At 44.9% G+C, this 20,223-nt stretch overlaps 1 long non-coding RNA gene across 1 annotated transcript in view; it reads right to left on the bottom strand.

Moving 5' to 3' along the window:
- Positions 1 to 2,186: 2,186 nt before the first annotated feature.
- The window catches only part of LINC01283 (long intergenic non-protein coding RNA 1283), a 33,586-nt gene continuing 15,549 nt past the window's right edge, over positions 2,187 to 20,223 (bottom strand). Inside the window, exons 2-4 of the long non-coding RNA NR_186823.1 lie at positions 4,536 to 4,820; positions 3,900 to 4,063; positions 2,187 to 2,453 (exon numbers count right to left, since the gene is read on the bottom strand). This is a non-coding gene — a long non-coding RNA (long intergenic non-protein coding RNA 1283). The remainder of the gene's footprint in view (positions 2,454 to 3,899; positions 4,064 to 4,535; positions 4,821 to 20,223) is intronic.

The following is a 20,223-nucleotide window of genomic DNA, read 5'->3' on the forward strand; positions in this document are numbered from 1 at the left end:
CCTAGCCTGCTTGGCAGCCCTCCCAGCTAGCTGATGCTTAGGTTTCCTGTGGAATGCCTTGCCCCTCCCTCCAGTGCCATGAGAATTGGGGCAAGAACACAACAAATGCCAATGAGTGGAGCACTAAGTGAGGCTGCAGTACTAGAGGGATCTCGTTCTAGCCCTTCATGCTTACACCGACTAGAGTAGATGCTTCTGCCAGTTACTATTGCTATTTAACAAACCACCCTAAGACTTAGAGACTTAAAACAATGTTATTGTCTCTTCGGTTCTGTGAATAGAGTGGACTCAGCCGGATGTTTTTCACTTGGGATCTCTCCAGCCATCATAGCCAGGTGGTGGCTGGAGCTGGAGTCTTCTGGAGGTTCAACAAGGCTGGACTTCCGTGATTTTTTCTTGCTTTTGTTTTCGTTTTAGTCAGAAAAACATTTATCTTGGTATCATGTCTTTTTCAAAAGTGGGAGGATGCAATTCTAGACCAGTGGCTGGCTGTTGACTGGGAGCTGAGCTGGAGCTGTCCAGTAGAGTGCCTAAGCATGACTACTCCACAGGGCTCAGGCTTCTCTCAGCATGGATACTGGATTCTGAGACTGTCCTGAGGATCTTGAGAGGCTGAACATTCCAAGCACAAGCATTCAAGAAACGTTCCAGGGGAATCAGGAAGAAACTTCATGACCTTTTGTGACCCAGCCTAGAAGTCACATAGTATTGGTTTCTCCATAATCAATTGTTCAAAGCAGTCACAAGCCCACCCAGATTCTAGAGGAGAGGGCATAATAGATGCCACTGTGCAATGGGAAGAGTGCCAAAGAATATGGGGGACATATTTAAACATGGCTACAGTGTTTAAAAAAAGAAAAACACTTTGCTTATTTTACTTAATTTAAAAGTCCTGATTATGCCAACATCTAAAACACCAACCTGTTTCTGCTACTATGTCTGGGGGGTGGAGGGGAAGTGCAGCATTTGAAAAGAGTAATGGATGTCACACTTTTAATATTTCAGTTGTCCTTTTAGGTCTCAGGTGACAAACCAGAAGTCCCCAATATAAATGGAGCCTGACATGGGCTTTACAAAGAACTGGTTCAATACTTTAAAACTTGGAGATTTCATATAAAACTGAATTTTCAGTATCTCTTACAAAATCAGATCTGGCAATATAAGCTCTGCATTCACTCAAGGCAACAGCAGCCTGGTGCTGAATGGTGACTTCCCCTTTTAGATAGGATTGATGTATACCAATTAGCCACAGTCCCTACCCAGCCCTATTGCCCTTAATATTGAAATTAAATACTAGTACTCCTTTATCCACATGGCTATATTGGTTTTTTTCTTGCTTTTGTTTTTGTATCTTGCTACCATGTGTTTATCAAAAGTGAGAGAATATAACACTAGACCTTGAGGGCAACATAGTCAACACAAATGGGAAAAGGCAGTTTTTATGGACATAAAAAACTTCCTATATTGTTTTTAATACACACCAAAGATGATCTGTGCTGATTTTTCTCATAGTCCTTCCTTTCTCCTTCCTTCACCCTCGCTTCTTCCTCCATTCTCTCTTTTCATCCCTCTCTTCTTCTCTCCCTTCCCCCACTTTCCCCTTCTCCTTCTCTTTCTCTCTCTCTCTTTTTTTCTCTTTTAGCAGAAGATCTGATAGATTCTTGTTAATAACCCTGAATTTATTTCATTTTTAGTCTTAAGCTATTACTTGAGTTAAAACAGTTGTTCTCTCTCCTGATGTTTGTTTTTTATATGACAGCCAACAACATAAAGAAAGATTGGGGACCTCAAAACACTATCTTCAGTATAACAGACACATCAAAAGGCCTCCTGGATGAGCCTAAAGTAGTCTCCCAAAAGGTGTGGGTGGTCTGCTCTCCCCAGGGAAAGACCCCTTGCCAGCCCAGCTCTGGGCCTTTTTCGTGGTGTTTATATGCATTCCAGACCAGAAGAGGCAGCTACTCCAGAACCACCACTCCAGCTGGTTGTTCAAGGTGCAGCTTACTAGACAATAGGCAAGCAGTTTCTTCTGACTGACAACTCTATCATGTTCACATTTGGTGCTCAATGCTTGGCTACAGAGTCTAGCCCCTTGGCCCTAGAGAGGCCTGTCACCTGTTCACACTTGGCTTGGGGATTTCTGTTCCATTCATCCACCATTTCCAGACTTCCCTTGATTGATTCCAGAAGTCAGTCTCTCTCTCTCTCTCTTCTCTTCTCTTTCTCTCTCTCTTCTTCCTTCCCTGGAAGCATGGGTTCAGCCCTCTTTTCCTATGTTTACAGTTCTCCTTGATTGTCATTTGGACTTGGTTCATTCAATGCAGATGACCATTTATAAATATCTGCATTCCTTTAGCATAGACCACAGTCTTCAGAACTTCTCTCCTGGATTCATTTAAGAAGGAGGGGCTCCTTTGAGAGGAAGTCTCAGCACATTCAATTCCTAAGTAGTCCTAAGAACAGAAGGAATGAGCTAGAACAGGGATCAAATAACCATGCTCAGTAAGGATACACATTGGTCCAGGTCTTTCTCTGCAGGGTGGCCCCCCAGTCTGGCTCATGATGGAGCCCTGTGAGAGGGCACCCATCCAACCAGGGCCTGGAGCCATGCAGCTGCACGCATCAGGCACTATGAGGTAGAGGAGCCAAGGGCACAAAGGGATGAGGGTGCTGCTTCACTTGTCTCCATGTCAAGAAAGCAAATATTTTGGCATAAAATTTCCCTTCTAATTTGTTCTGATTTGGGAAGGAAACATTTTTCTGAATCATTTCCTCAGGGGAAACCCACCTATCTCAAGAAGGAAAGTATTCCTTCTGAGCTTACTATGCCACCTTGACTCATAGAGGAGGTACATCTACAGGGTCATGAAACTGATTTCTAGATTGCGACAAAAAGCAGCTTGCATGCATGCATGTATGCTTGTGCATGGATGTGCATTCCTGGGTGTGGGGGCACGTGTGTGTGTCTGTCTTTGGGGTGTGCCTGTATGCACATGTGTCTGCGTGCATATGTGTGTGCATGTATATGGGCATGTGGGTCTGCATTTGCATGTGTGCATGCCAGTTTGTAGACATTTATGTGTGCATGTGTTTGTGCTCATGTGCGTGCGCATGTACATGTGTGTTCATGTATTCATGGTTGTACATGCATGTGCATGTGTTAGCATTTGTGTGCATACGTGTGTGTGTGCACATCTGTGGATCGTAACAGATCACAGAGGAGCCTAAAGGGAATGTGGGAAGGCAAAGGCTGTTCTCCCTGGAGCCTGCTAAGGTGGGTGGGAGAGTGGGTAGCTTCCAGGCATGCTGTGAATTCTACACAGCACCCTCCCTGCCGTGCCTCTCCCACAACTGACTGCTCACTGGCATCAGTCACCATGAAAATAAGAGGTGAAATCATTCTATGTGTCCACATGCCCATCCTCAGCTGAGGCTAAGTCATCAGGGTGGCAATTAGATTGTCTCCAACCTTACAGCCCCCCTGCCACAGGAGAGACCCACGGCCAGATGTCTCTTCCCACTCCTGCTCAGAGCCTCACTAGACTTTGCACTGACACCATAGGTGTGGTCATTTCCTATTTTATGACATAAAAAAATCCTAAATTTATGAAGTTAACCAAGAAGGAAGTGATTTGAATTTAAAGATTTGGGGCAAGTACCCTAAATTCTCTGAGCTTCAGTATCCTCATTTGTGAAATGACGATAATAGTATCCTCTTCCTCAAAGGACTAAATGTATATGTGGCTGGTCAGTAGATGCATGTAAAACTAGCCTGTTACATGGACTGAAGTTGATGGGGTGGTAATAGGAAACAGACTGTTGCTCAAACACCTGCATTCGCACCTGTCACCATCAGCTCCCCGTTCCCTATCCCTTGACATCTTACTCAGCGCCCATACCTTCCAGGAACCTTTGAGGATTCAATTGCCCAGTCTGATCCCCTCAGGCCCGGCCTAAGGTTTGGCAATGGGAAGGACAATCTGTTGTCTCCTCCATCTCTCATTCCTCAGCCCCTCTCCTTGGCTGTTTCTTGGTCTTCCTGTCTTCTCTGACACACTGGAGTCTGAGCAGAGAGGTGGGAGAAAAGAGTACAGTCATACTTCCCTGTCCACCCTGTAATAATCCCATCATTGGCTGTCTCTAGGAAGGCTCCCAAATGATGCCCCCTCCTGGGGCATTTCCATAGGTGTTTGGGAAGCCTTGAAACATCCTTAGCACTGCACTGTCTCTGTTGCGGGCCTAACAGGAGCTTCCCTGTAGGATTGTTGTGAGGTTTACATGAGTTACTGTAAGACTGTACAGTAACAAGGCACCCTCTCAACTCCTGCCCAGTCTGGTTCACCCCCACAACCTCTCTCTGCTGGGACCCCTCACTCTAGCAGGCAGCTCTCTTGGGTAGGGACTCTTTGAAACAGTGCCAGCCCAGTTACCTTCTACGGAAGACACTTGGTCTCCAGAAGCTCACTCACCCTTGCCATTCCAAGTCCTAGGAGTGCAGTTTTGCTACCTTTGTCTGCCCTCTCTCCCTCACTTGCCATCACAGGTGATTCCAGCCGCCCTTCCTCCTTCCAGATTCTCCAGGCAGGAGGCAGTTGCTGGTCTCTGCTGGAGAATGCTCCCAGCCTCCTAGGGACAGCTCAGTCTATCCCTGGAATTCCAGTGCACAGGTTGAGCAGGTCCATAGGTTTCTGCAGCACAGGATCAAGCCTCTGAAGAGGGTTGCCAGGTGCCCCTTCTGGCAGGCTCTATTGCACAGATAAGAACACTTCTCCTGAAGACCCTCAATTGGTTGGTGGCAGAGGTGTTGTGGGAAGTGGAACCTAGGAGGAAAAAAACACTATGTTTCCCTCCAGGTGACCCCCCACTCCCACACACATCTGTATAACCCCCTCACATTTCTAAGCAGCCTTCTTACATAGGCTGATGGGGCCGAGTGGGAGATGCTTATGGGACAATTTTTCACTTGCATGCCTCTCTAGAGAGACAAAATTTTGAAAAAAGATGAGTATAGTGGTTGAGAGTGGAGGCTTGGGGACAGAGTGTGTTCAGTCCCAGGATTCTCAGCTGTGTGCCCTTGGGCAAGTTACTACATCTCTCTGTGCCTCAGTTTCCACAATTGTGAATGAGGACATAACAGGACCTTCTCTACAGGATTGTTGAAAGGGCTAAATGAGTTACTATAGGACTGGGGCTTCATAGTGCCTGGTACATATTGGGTACTCAATATATGATAGTAGTGTGTGAGTCTTCCCATCCAGTTGGCAAACACCTTTAGTCCTAAGGAAGAGATGGTACATTTGGGGGCTGAAAGTGTCCATCGCACAACCCAGCTTCAGTGGACATTACAAACTTCCAGTCAAGGAGATTTGACTCTATCATTCTCCTTCTTTTAAGCTTTCGGTTGCTCCCTTTATATTAAGCCTAAAGTCAAACTTCCCTCTGTTCCACTGAACTACCTGTGATTCTCTCAAGCTTGCCACACTCACTCTTTTTTTTCTTTTTTCCAGCTTTAATGAGGTATAATTGACAAATAAAAATTGTATATGCTTAATGTGTACAGTGTGATGTTCTGATATATGTATACATTATGAAATGATTACCACAATCAAACTAATTAACATATCCATCATCTCACACAGTTGCTTTTTTTGGGTGAGAATAATTAAGTTCTACTCTCTTAGCAAATTTCAAGTATACAATACAATATTGCTAACTATAGTCCCTATGCTGCACATTAGGTCTCCAGAACTTATTCCTCCTGTCTAACTGAAACTTTGTACCCGTTGACCAACATCTCCCCATTTCCCCAATCCCACAGCCCCCAGTAACCACCATTCTACTCTTTGCTTCTATGAGTTCAACTTTTTTAGATTCCACATGTAAGTGAGATCATGCAGTCTTTCTGTGACTGACTTATTTCACTTAGCATAATGTCCTCCAGTTTCATCTATGTTGTCACAAATGACAAGATTCCTTCCTTTTTTAAGGCTGGATAGGATTCCATTGTGTATGTATGCCATATTTCTTTTATCCATTCATCTGTTGATGGACACTAAGGTTGATTCCATATGTGGCTATTGTGAATAATACTGCAATAAACATGGAAGTTCAGACATCTCTTTGATATGCTGATATCATTTCCTTGGGATATATACCCAGCAGTGGGATTGCCGGATCATATGGTAATTCTGTTTTAGTTTTTTTGAGGAAACTCCATACTGTTTTCCATAATGGCTGTACTAATTTACATTCCCCCCAGCAGTGTAAGATGGTTCCCTTTTCTCCACATCCTCAGCAATATTTGTTATATTTGGGTATTCTGATAGTAGCCATTCTAACAGGTGTAAGATTATATCTCATTGCAGTTTTGATTTTTCACTTCTCTGATGATCAGTGGTGTTGAACATTTTATCATTTACCTATTGGTCATTTGTATGTCTTCTTTTAATAAATGTCTATACAGGTGTTTTGCCCTTTTTTTTTTTTTTTTTTCTGAGATGGAGTCTCGCTCTGTCGCCCAGGCTGGAGTGCAGTGGCACGATCTCAGCTCACTGCAACCTCTGCCTCTCGTGTCCAAGCAAGTCTCCTGCCTCAGCCTCCCGCATAGCTGGGATTACAGGCGTGTACCACCACGCCAGGCTAATTTTTGTATTTTTAGTAGAGACGGGGTTTCACCGTGTTGGTCAGGCTGGTCTCGACCTCCTGACCTCAAATGATCCACCCGCCTCAGCCTCCCAAAGTGCTGGGATTACAGGCGTGAGCCACCGCACCCAGCCATTTTGCTCATTTTTAATAGAGCTATTCTTTTTCATGCTATTAAGTTGTTTGCATTTTTATGTATTTTGAATATTAACTCCTTATTAGATTATGGTTTGCAAATATTTTCTCCCTTCGCCCTGTTAATTGTTTCCTTTGCTGTGCAGAAGCTTTTTAGTTTGATGCAATGTCATTTGTCTATTTTTGTTTTTGTTACCTGTGCTTTTGCCCAGACTAATGTCATGAAGCTTTACACCTATGTTTTCTTCTAGTAGTTGTATAGTTTCAGGTTTTACATTGAAACCTTTCATCCATCCATTTTGAGTTGATTTTTGTGTATGGTGTGAGATAAGGGTCTAATTTCACTCTTCTGCATGTGGATATCCAGTCTTCACAGCATCACTTATTAAAAAGATTGTCCTTTCTCCATTGTGTGTTCTTTTGTTGTGCTCACTCTTGCCGTCAGGCCTTTGCTCATGCTATTCATTCCTGCTGGAAACATCTTTCTCCATCTCCTCCACCAGGGTAGGCTTCATTTAGTGTGGCAGCCATGGGAAGGCACTGCCCAGACCTCCCTTCAGTGGAAAATGCCTTGGGGGTAATGTAAATGTCTGACAGCCTCCGAGTGCCACACCTTCAGGATCCACTGCAGAATTCCTGCCGGGGCAACCCTCTCTCCAGGCTGTTCCCACCCATGACAAAGCACAGGGAGGAGAGGTGGTCAGGACTAGCCCTGGGTCATTCCTGCCTTACATGGGACCTCTCTGATGGGCAGTCTGTGCTCTGGGGATTCCCATCAGCCTGGCTGAGACTTTCTCAGAGTTGTGCTGCCAGCTGAGGCTCTCCCAAACCACCCCTTCTTCCTTCCCCTCTCCTTCCACAGGGTTACACCTGCCTCCCTGTCTGAAGGTCCTTCTCACCTCCTCCTGCTTCCCTCATGTATCCCTCACAGGTGTCTAATTCCATCTAGGTGTCTGCTTCCCATACTGACATTCCGAAGAGCTGACATACTTAGCCATCAAGCCTCAGCTCAAGCTTCACTTCTTGGAGGTGTTTCCTACCTTCCCCCAGCTCTACTCAGATAATTGAGGTACCTGCCATGTCCCAGGCCCCTTCTGTGTGCTTCCAGACAACCTTGTAACCACCTCCACCAGAGCACTTTTATTCTGCTATACTCAGCAATTTCGTGTCTGCTTCCCCTAATAACTGAGTACCCTGAAGAAATTTTCCTACTAATCTCTGAATTCACAGCATATAATACAATACCAGGTGCTTAGTAGGTAATGAGGGTTTGTTGAATGAATAAATTATTGATTGAATTATTGAATGAATGGAATAGGAAGCCAAGGTACAGACCTTATGAATTTGGAGTTACCAGAATGTATGCATGGGAGAAATTCTTCAGAACCAAGAAAGGAAAAGGAAAATAAAAGAGATTTAAAGGAGAATTTCCACATTGTTCTTGGGTTTTGAAAACCTGAATTCTACGGCCTGACCAAAATTTTAAAGTTTCATGAACCAAAATACATGAAACTTTATCTGTTGAAAAACACTTTTCTTCTTTTGATGAAAACATATCTTTTAGGATGAAAGTTGCTAAGAAAATAGAACTGTTTTAGAGCAATTTGGTTTGTAACTCTCCTGGAATTCAGAGGACTACACTATTTATTCAGAGATTGCTTGATTTCAGAAAATAAAAAACTCAGAGCTAGCTAAAGGAAAGAGGCTTTAGGTAAAGAAGCTGAGGCTGGGCATAGGCGCCAAGGTCATGCAGCACAAGCAGATCTCAGGAGAAATGGCAACCAAGAGCTGGAAGGGTAATAGCTGAGGTCAGGGCCTCCTAACCTACCAGGTTACAGGCTTGGGACTTCTGCACACACTCCTGCATAAGACTAGTAGTTCATTGCTGCCTGGAGCAAGCATCCGACCAAGAAGACCAACTAAACTAATTGTGTCCCAATGCCAAAGTGTTAGAAGGAACTTAGCTTGGCTGACTGTCCATGCCTCCTTGCGCTCAGCTGTGGCCACAGAATGTGGTCTCAGAACTACAGAGCAGGGCTTGTGGAGTAAACTGGAAGAGGAGTGCATCCTCGCCCCATCCCCACCTCAAAGCTATGGAGAAGCCATGGAATTAGACCTGGCATTGAAAACCTTGGACCACCGTGAGAGGTAGAAAGCCCCCTAACTTCTCTGCACCTCATTTCCTCATATCCAAGATGTAGTGAGTAGAGGGTGCCTGGTTTGAAGATTTCTTTCTTCCAGAGCCCATACAATTCCATCGCTACACCCTGCTGTCTCCCTAGACTTTTGAAATCCTCAATAGCAATTTCTCCCTCACGGTTAGCAAAGCCATGCACTCAAAAAAAAAAAAATACTACACTGAACATTTTAAGGCAAATTTTTCTTTAATTTCCTAATAATAACAAAAATCATTCAAAGCCACTTTACTGTTGGAAAAGAAATATCTATGCATACACTTAGATCATTTAAGCCAAATGCCTTTTTAAAAACATTTCTCAATTAAGTATTCAGCAGAGATAATATTAAGTCTGAAGCATTTTATCCAGTTAAAAATATTAGAGATGAAAGAATTCAAAATGTGGAATATAAGAAATTAGAATGAAAGTATGATAGCATCAGACGCTTGTCCAAAAGGGCAGAACCACAGGTCAAAGCCACATCTCCCTGGATTTGCTGGCATTTAACTAGATGCAAAATGTCAGCACAGAAAATGGCTTGTTCAATGCAAATATTAACAAGAGAGGAGTGTGTCAGTGTGTAAATGTGGCTTCAGCGGAAGCGTGCCTTTCTGACCTACCTCCCGCAGTCACCTGGAGGCAACAAGGGAACTTTCTTTTTGCTTATTTTCACCCTCTTTGCTGGTGGTAAAGTTACAGGGCATTTGTTTCATGGAAGAGAGGGAAGACTGAAGCAGGAATCATGAAGCAGCAAGATGGTATTGTTTGCCTGTGTCATGAACTCAGCTTGTTTCTATTCTATTCTATTCTATTCTATTCTATTCTATTCTATTCTATTCTATTCTATTCTATTCTATTCTATTCTATTCTATTCTTACTCTGTTCTATTCTAATGTTTCTTCTGCATATGTTCAGACAAGACTGGCACTTAGCAATGTTAATTTGATCAAGGCCAGGAAGAAGGCAGAAAAGGAAAAAATCTGCCTTTTTTTCTCTCTTCTCCACACTGAGGTTTTAGTAGTAGCTCAAAGCTGCACACTGCCTTTCTGTGCTTATTCTCCTCTGGACAGAGTATCCACAGATTTTCCTACTGGCCCTTTCCCCAGCTCTCTGCACTTGTTGTGTTGCTCTGAAAAGGGAACCTCACCTGTGAGTGGCTCTGATTCGGTGATGGTGGGGGGAATCTTGGAGCTGCTCTTTCAAATACAGAGGGCCTTGATTCTGAGGAATGCAGGAAAGTGATGTCTGGGAAGAATGTGATGGTCACTCAGGCTGAAACCTGCTCATTCTCCTCTGAGGTGGTGTTTTGGTGAACCCACCGTGGGTGGCAGTCAGATCTTCAGCCAGGCAGCCTCAGAAACTGGATACTCTCAGCACCCCGAGAATGGATCAACTCACTCATCCAGCTCAACAGAGACTTAAATATGCAAGCCATGATGACTAATCAGACTAATGCACAGTGATGCCAGACCTTCTCACCAGCCTGACATCACATTCTCTGCCTATGAACAAGTGATATGGGTGGCCATATTTGCTGATGGCAGCTTGGGTTTTAGAACAAAGTCTGGCTTAATTGGAGCATTGAAGCAATTGTTGAAGCAATATTAGGTGATTTGCCAAGTTGCTGGTAAAACTGCTGAACTAGCCTTGAAAAGCAGGTAGAGGTCGGAGAGCAGCTGGGGAGGCAGTCCCAAGCCAGTGAGAACACCAGCTTGTACTGCCAACAGCTGACAGACGTGACTCCTTTGTTCACTGGTGCCTGCTGGGATCTGGATGTTATAGCCACCATGGCTACTGCCTGAAAGGATTTCCCACTGTTCCTAGCTGCTGATTCCAATCTATGGCAGGTATATCTGACTGGCTTAGTCTACGTCACACACGTGTGGCCTGACCACCAGGAAAATTGAGAAGGCAAGTGTCTTAGTTTGGGTTTCTCCAGGTAAAAATCCTGAGGTAAGGATAATTTACTTGGGAATGATTCCAGGAAGTGCCAGTAGGAAGTGGGGTATTGAGATAGGAAAAGAGAGAAGCTGATAAAGGACAGGTCATGAAACTGTAGGCATGTCACCGCTGTGGGCAACTGGGGCTCATTCTTGTTGGGGACCTCTGGGAGATAGTATAGATTCTCTTGGAGTTATCCTACCTGAGGGGCAGGGAAACTGGAGTTTTGATTGACCAGTTCCCACCCATCATTGATTGAGTGTGGCGTTAACTCCTGAGCGAACTCACCTTCCCTGCCCATCTAACCTTGTCTGTATCGAGAGTTACATGTGCTTACATTGGCATATACAGGAGTGGTGAGTGCCAAGCACTTATTCGTGGGCACAACAGTGTCTGCTACAATAAGTGCCATGCATTTTTAGCTGCTCAAGTGACAGGTGGGCTCTACCTCCCACCTAGATTCAGAGAGAAGGGGTTCAGATGCCAGGCAACCAAAAATCTGACAACAGTCTCTACTACCGGGTGCCTTTCTCTTTATCGGCCAAACTCTTATTTTTTTCTTCATCTGTTAACTGCCAAAACATGGTAGTTTCCTTGGGAGTAAGTACTTTTTAACATGGTCACATGGGATGACCCCTGACCCAAGATGGACCAATCACAAGTCTTCTCTGGAGTTTTCTAAACTAGAAATGAGTCAGTGTTTCTCAAGTGGTCTGGAATTTAAGGTACAGAATTGGGAAGCTCTGAGCAGGCACATATTTCACCATGTAGTAGAAGCAGTCTACAGGTGAGAGAGAGTAACATGCACATATTTCACCATGTAGCAGAAGCAGTCTACAGGTGAGAGAGAGTAACATGCACACACAGAAAGAGTCATAGTGGAAAGGAGACCAATGGTTTCCCTGCTCTCTCCAGCTTTCAACTTTCCTGGGATTCTGTGCTCTGATGCATTGGTTTTTTTTTTTGTTTTTTTTTTTTTGTTTTTTTTTTTTTTTGCCTAAGTTTACAACCAAAACAATCCTGATTAATAAGGTGAGCACAGAAATACAAGGAGGAGGTGGAATGATTATTTCAGGCTGTGCTCCCCCATGAGTGGACTCCCCAGATGAGTTGCCACAAGACATGCAAGAAGTTTGTGGAGGAGAGCCTTCAGGGGAGCGAGGGAAGCAAAGCAGAAGAGAGGAGGACCTTGAGCTACAATCCCTCCACTGAGAGGCCTCAGCTGACACCCTGGGGGCTTTGGAGCTGAGATGGCCCTTCAGAGTAGTCCCAAGTTGGGGCAAGAAGTCAGGGCCTTTATACCCCTACATGGCCAGTCATTGGATGTAGGCTGCCCCAGGAAGTGAGTGGACCTTGGACAAAGTAGCTCTCTTCAGCTGAGGCAATTCCTGCAGGAGGTAGACTGCTGAGGCCTTTATGCCAAATGGCTCTCTCAGCAGCTGGAGGAAGCAGTCCTGTGGTTCTGAAGGGAAACCCAGGTGGCACATCACAGCCTCCACTACAAGGACATTAAGAGACATCTCTCAGATAATGCTGAATAAGGACTCTCTCCTCGTGGAGAGGATATCTTTCCAAGCCAATAATAACTATTTACTGGAGGCTGCACATTTAGTACTCCGCAAGCATCATCCTCCTATATCCCCTTGTGAGATTGAAACTGTATCCCTGTTTCACAGAAGGGGAAACTGGAGCTGAGAGAGTTAAGAAACTGGCTCAAGATTACAGAAATAATAAGTGGCAGAGGCAAGATTCAATACACACCTTCCACTCATGAACCGGCTGCTTTGAGCCTCTTTGCCAGGGCTAGGGCTCAGGTAAGACAGTGAGACAGCCAGGGCACAAAACTTAAGAAAGCACTCACTCTCAAGTGCTAACACTGAACTTCTACAACCCTGACAGTGAGTGCCTCCTCAACATGCTGTGCCCTGGTTACCTTGCTCAAGTCACCCAAGTCCCAGAGCCCTGATCTTAGCTAAGGGACCAAGGAAACTAACACACTCAAGGATCCTGAGCCAAGGCACTCTTTCCCCTGGAGTTATTCAGTGGGTCCCTCCGGCCTCTGCCTCTAGGTCTCACTTTTCTGGAAGCCTCATGGCTGATTAGCCTCTTTCTTTTCACAGTCTCTTTCCAAACAGGGCACGAGACAAGGGATTTGATTTGTTAACTTAGCATTTCCTAATTTCCTATCTCATTCCAGGGCTGCCTCCCAGGGCACTCCCCTATTCAGCTTAAGCTGGCATTTTGGAGCTCATTCACTCTTCTGTCAGCCAATCACCATCACAGGGTGAAGCTTCACCCCATATATTATGAATCAGTCCCATTCTACGCACATTGTACCAGTTTACCTGTGAGGGTAGCCCTATAGCTACTATTTGTTAGGGTGGAGGGGGCTTCACAATTGCCTTCATGTATGGACGGCCCCTGATAGGTACTTTTCTGCCTACAAAGAACCTTCAGACTCACACACTCCTTCAGCACATTGCACTGTAGTTGTCACTGGCCTGCCTCTCTCCCCTCTGGGCTCGGATTGTACCCATTCCCTGCAGACATGGTGTATTCCAGCTTCTCCACGGCCTAGGGTACTCAAGATGTATTTCTTGAATGAAGATTAACCAACCCTCTCTAGAGTTTAGCTCAAGTGAATCCACTGTTCCAGCTGGAATGAAAATCATGCCAGGCCTCCATCTGTTTTTAAAAGATAGAAGGGCATTCCTACTCTCTGGGGAGAAACTGCAAGGATTTAATGAAATGTTTCTTCAGTGGAGGCTATGGATGATCTGTTGACATGGTCTAAAAGGTTGTAGGTTGTTTAATGTCTTTCTGTACCATCAATTCTGCACTTTGTACCAACTCAGCAAGTTGGTATGAATTTAGGCTACTGACAAGGACCTCGGAAAATAATGTGGCTTCTGCAGGTTTAAGGAAAGAAAGAACTCAAAAGCAGTGCTAAGAGTCTGAGATGAGAACCTCTGTGATGCAGTGCTTCCAAGGATTTGGCCTGGGAGGGACTGCAGCAGCACATGTTTCCTGCCTCTGGTGCACCTTCCCGAGGGCTCCAGACCTGCCTCAGAGTGCCAGCCTGGAGACTCCATGAACATCACCTGCCCCATCCCCTGTATTTCTTGTTTCATTAAAAAATCCCCAAAATCACACTGTCTCAGGGCAGCTTTTTCAACCTTGGAGGCAGATGTTGCTCATCTCTGTCAGCTTGATGCAGTGAGAAAAGCAGGCCTTAGAATTTTGGCTTGAGAAGCCTTGAGTGCAACTCTGGATTGGCCATTTACTGACTTCAACTCAGCATTTTCCAAAGAGGATTCCACTGAGTGCTACAATTCTATGGCATATTAAATAGGACTGGTATATTGGTGTATCAGCATCATTGATAATGATGCTGTGTAACAAACAATCCCAAACCTCAGTGGCATACAATGATCAGCATTTATTCTTCACTTGTGCCTCTGCTGGTTGTCTGGGGAAGCTATGTTCCATGTGTCTCATTCCAGGGCTCAGGATGGTGGGGCAGCAGCCCCCGGGGGTGTGCTTCTCTCATTGAGCACAGAAAGTCACAAAAGGGCAAATGGAAGCATGCAATATTTTTAAAGCCTAGGCTTGAAACTGGCACACAATCATCCCCACCTTCATCCCATTGGGCAAAGCAAGTCACATGGCCAAGCCTTTCATCAATGAGACAAGGAAGTTTACTCTTCCCAAGAAGATTTAGAGAGACGGAGTGAATTTTTTGTTGTATGGTAATTTAATCTACAAGCTACATGGGGAAAATGTTCTATGGTCAAATAAGTTAGGGAAACGCTGTGTTTTTAAAATAAGATGAAAAAGAGTTGGGATGTTGGAGGTGGTCGGGGGGTGTCAATTAATCTTTTGAAAGATGTGAGACAGGTCTCAGAGCCTTTAGTGAGTATGTCCATCTTGAATACAGTTGGGAGGCATAGTATGTGAAATGATGTTTTCTGACTCTTTTTCACCATGCTATTAGTGTTCCACCGAACCCACTTTGAGAAAGGTTGCTATAGCTCATGACCAAGTGCCCTAACATCTCTGAGCCCTAGGTATCCAGGTTATTTGGACAGGAACAATGGTATCTATCTCAGAGGATGGTTAGGGGGTCTGACATGAGATAAAGTGCACATAGATGCCTATTCACTCATGAGTTCAATTCATCTGGGACCTCAATTAGAAAGAGGGCTCCCGTAGCATGGGACAGGTTGGATCTGGGCCACAGGAGATTCACACACTGGATTAGGCAGGCTCTGGGCAGCAGAATACCTATGAAAAGGAGTAGAAAGTCCTTCTGAATTCTGAGTGTGGCAACAGACAGCAGAGGCCTTGAAAATGGGGGAGTGTGAAGGGTTAACAGGGTCGTGGTGTAAAGAGGTTTTTGTTGGTAGCAAGTTCTGAGGGACTCTAGGCTAAACTGATGTGGCTACAGATTGGCAGAGGCATTTCAGGGAAGGATCAAGTGATACTTTGGCCTCGACTGATCCCTGGCCCTGAGGAACGGCCAGGCTGTCAAGTCAGAGATTGGCAGCCCCAGTTAGGGAGCAGAGGACTATAGGGGCAGGAGGCCATGGATGTCATCAGAGCTCCTATCACTGGAGCAGGGCCTGTATTCAGTTCAGAATCCTGCCTTTTCCCTGCACCCACCAGGAGCTTGTGTCCTTTTGCTTCTGTCTCACCCCTGCCTAAACCTGGTCCATCTTTCCAAAGCATGAACCATTCCTTCCTGTGGCCTCTGCAAACAACGAAACACCAGTGTCATTAGCGTAAGGACACAGAGGCAGGAGCAAAGTTCACAGAAGATTCCAATTCCACCCAGGTATGAATAGGAAATTATCTGTGGAATGGTCTGCTTCCCCTTAGTTACACATGTGGTTTTTATTTCTTGGGGAAAAAAGGCTCCAGGTGTTGTTCTCCAAAATGTCACCCCCCACTCCCGGCCTTGGCAGGCTCCCAACTGCCTAGGTCTATAGAAGTGCCAGTGCTGGAGCCGACAGCTTCCAGCACCTTCCACAGCTGCCACAGCTAACACAAGAGACCTTTTCTACACATTGGCTTTTCTCCCATCAGAAACACTCCAATATTTGTCCTCGCTGCTCCTCGGGGTGGTGTCTCCTTTCTTCACCTGTGGCATCTCCAGGTTGAACAATATTTTTAGGTTTCTCCCCTCTTGTTGTTTAAGAACCCTCACCCTAAAATCTCAGAAAATGTATCTCAGAGGCCTGAGGGGATGCACCCTGGGTCCCGGTGTCTCTGAGCTGATGGCACGGCATCCACTAGTTGGGTTTTTTTGTTATTTTCCTGGTGTTTTGTTTGTAGACATTTTTTTTTAAAAAAATGAAACAGATACCACATCTTTTTCCTTTGGAAAAGTATATTGGGAGGAAAGTGAAATGCTGGGAATATGTGGGTGCACCCTTACAATGAAAACATCTCATTGTAAAAAAATTACAATAGTATCTATTTGAAAGAAATATTGTATGAGTAAAAAAGCAAGATATCGGCTGGGTGCAGTGGCTCACACCTGTAATCCCAGCACTTTAGGAGGCTGAGGCAGGTGGATCATTCAAGGTTAAGAGTTTGAGACCAGCCTGGCCAACATGGTGAAAACTCATCTCTACTAAAAATACAAAAATTAGCCAGGTGTGGTGGTGTGCACCTATAATCCCAGCTACTCGGGAGGCTGAGCCCTGAGCCTGGGAGGTGGAGGTTGTGGTGAGCCGAGATCGTGCCACTGCATTCCAGCCTGGGTGACAGAGTGAGACCCTGTCTCAAAAAAAAAGCAAGATATCTGGGCAATTGAGACCATCCAATGATGGCAGAGCAATAACCTGCTCTTTTATAGTTACATAAAGTTACATAAAAATTCTTATGAGCACAGCCTCTGCAGCAAGGTGGCAGGGATTGGGATCCCAGCTCTGCTACATACCAGCCATGTGACCTTGAGCAAGTTACTTAATCTCTCTGTGCCTCAGTTTCCTTCTCTGTAATCTGTGGATACTAATAAACTCACCTCTTGGAGTTAACATGAGAATGAAATGAGTTAAGTTTCATACAGCTGTTGCGACAGTGCCTGGGTGTATAGTAGGCACCAAGCGTTTGTTAAAGAAAACTTCAGAAGAGGGTCACTCTCATAACATCATGTGAGCCGAAACCCAGGGCATGCTGGAAACACAGGAAGTACTCGCCATTCTTGTTGTTTTGTCCTCACTGACCTTGCCCCATCTCCCTTTTCTTCATGCTCTTCCTTCCACAATAATACCCTCTCATGAGGCCCTTTATGTATTCTACCTCCTTATTTTAAAAGGGAAAAATGAGAAAAAAAGAAATAAAATACAATTCTTGGAAAGCTGGCAGGAGGATTTGCATTTTAATGGCAGAGAAAATGTAAAGTCAAAGGAATGAATCCCTAATTGTAGAATTTGTGGTTGCTGGTGAGGGGACTACTTGGTGGGACAGAGGTGGCAGGACTGGGCAAGATAGGAGAGAAGGACAGAAGATCAACCTGAAATCCCTCCACACAGGCAGTTGCCTACTGGACAAGAAATGCCAGCCCCAGCTATGTACAAGAAAGTATGCTTCCCGTGAGGTCACACCCACTCTGAATGGAAACCCACGCGTGCCCTGGACTGGTTCTTCCAATTATGGAAAAGGCCCCCAAACGTCCCCTGATTGGCATACCACAAAAGCTGAATCTCTGCAATAATGATGATGATAATGGCATTGGTAATAGCCGCGATGCAGCTGTTACTCAGCCACGTGCATCTTCAGAGTCTCCTGGGGATTGACGGTGTGCTAAGAATAGTCCTGGTACCGGCATTCAAGAATAATCGGGTGACCAAAGTGAACCTCACAAGGTGGGATCCTGCTTGCCAAATGGGCTGCCAGGTGTGAGGGCACGGACTCTGCAATGCTCTACTCTCCTGGGTGGGCTGAGAATGAGTGAGGAGACTTGGCTGTGTGTTCAGGCTGGGGAAATCCTGAAACAAGGGCTGGAGTGAGACTTTTCAAAACTGCAGCACTTGGATTAACCTTGTTGTCAAATTCCACCTGTGTCATAGCTCCTGGGACCTACTCCCTTGTGGACTTTACCATTCAGAGCAGAGGGAGGAGTCAGCTGCATGACCGGTGACTGGCATGGAGAAGATGTAGTGCTGTCAAGACAGGATTAGCTAAAAGTGATAGAAAATGCCAAAGAAGACTGGCTGAAGTTTCTTTCTCTCATAATAAATCAGGTTCAGAGGTGGACGGTTGAGGGCTGAAAAGGTGGCATGACAAAGTCGAAAGGACCAGGCTATTATTGTTATCAATATCATTGTCATTACTATTGTATAATTTGCATGCGGTGAAATACACAGATCCTGATGAATTTTGACAAATGTTTGCACCATGTAATTAACTGCCCAACCAAAAGAGAACATTTCCATCAGCTCAGAAGTTTCCTTGTGCCCCTCTCCAAGTGATTTGACATTTATCACCAGGGAATGGATTTGCCTGCTCTAGAATTCCATATAAATGGAGTCATACAGTAGCTATTCCTTTGTTTCTGGCTTCTTTCACTCAATATAATGCTTTTGGGATTTACTGATGTTGCTGTATCAGTAGTTCTTTTTTATTGCTTATTAGTCTTCCATGGTATGAATACACCATAATTTGTTTATTCACCTGTTGAGGGACATTTAGATTTTATCCAGTTTGGGATTATTAGGAAAAAAATTTGTTACCAACATTTGTGTGCAAATCTGTGTGTGGAAATAGGTTTTCATTTCTCTTGGGTAATGAGTGGGAGTAGAATTGCTGAGTATAGTATAGGTACATGTTTAATTTTGTAGGAGATTACCAGTTTTCCAAAGTGATTCTACAATTGAAGGCTCTATCTTGCTCTTCTACCATTAGCCATTCATGACTTCTACCTCATGGTAAAATATGGCTGCTTGAATTCTAGCCATCATATCCACATTCCAACCCACAAGGAGGAAGATGGAGGAAATTATACGCTTCCCTTGCTTTAATAACATTTCCTGGAAATGTCACACAATACTTCTGCTTACATCCCATTAGTTAGAACTTAGTCCCATGATTGCACCTTGCTGAAAGGGAGGCTGGGACATGTATTTTTTGTTATGGAGACCCACATGCCTAGCTAAAAATTGGGGATCTTATTATTGAGAAAGAAAGTGATATTGGATGTTGGGGGGCAAGAAGCAGCTCTGCTACAGATGAGTGGTCAGAAATTAGTCAGGGATCATTCCTGTCTTGCTTAAGGGTGTTTCTCCAGAACCTATCGTGGACCTTGGCTCATGATATATGCTCTATAAATGTTTGTGACAGGTGGAAGGAGGGAGAGAAGAAGAAAGAGAGAAGTAGCCATGGCAGCCAGGCTCATGACTCAGGAAAGTTTCCTTGAGGTCACTATGCTCTTCTGACAAGAGTGTTGTTCTTAAAGGACTTTCACCATTCTTCAACTTCTGACATTGTTTCAAAACATCTCTTGGATGCAATTAAACGTCATTGTATGAATTGTCAAGACAGTCTTTCAGTGACTTGTTAGGTAAGGGACTTTTTGACATTGTTATCTGATAGAGATAGTTTGGGAATTTTGTTTTTCAGTGTGGAATAGAGTGTGTGTGGGTGGGTGTGTGTGTCTGCACAGGAAACCGTCTGAGGACTTTTTCCTGTCAAGAGTCTCACAATTTGTATGGTAATAAACGTGTTGTCATCAAGGGCTTGTGCCTTGGAAATTCGAAATGAAGGCCGAGATGCCTGAGGGGAGGGGAAGAAAAGAGAGCTGGGAGCAAGGTTGTTTCGAAGCCGACTCGTGGCCGTGACAGGCAGCGGGAACTTTTGTGAGAGGCCTCCGTGTTTCCAGCCGGGTGCCCCTTCAGCAAATGAGGGGGTCATCGGGTTATGTTATTTTATGGTACAAAAGCAGATACGGTCCGCTGCCTCCGCTCTACCCTGATAATTTTGTTTTCCTGGCGAGTTTGCCATCAAGGATCTGACATGCCATTAGGTTTTTATCTCTGTTGCCCAAGGAGGGGCAACGGTGAGCAAGGGTCTGCTTTTCATTAAAGTGAGCCTGGTTGCACGAGCACTTCTTTGAACAAAACAACCACGGTTCACGACAAGGTTAGGGGAAGGCGGGGCGGAGGGAAGGTTATTAGTTATTACCTCTGCTTCCTTAGCGGGAGTGGGGGCTTCTCTCTAGCGGGATTTGGATCCCTCCCTGGGGCGCTGAGAGCTAATTCCACACTCAAGCCATGATCCCCAGGCCCGCCTAAGAAGCGGCGCCTTCTAATCATGCCAAATCATC

Source organism: Homo sapiens, chromosome X (assembly GCF_000001405.40).
Source record: "Homo sapiens chromosome X, GRCh38.p14 Primary Assembly".
In the NCBI taxonomy this organism is placed as follows: Eukaryota; Metazoa; Chordata; class Mammalia; order Primates; family Hominidae; genus Homo; species Homo sapiens.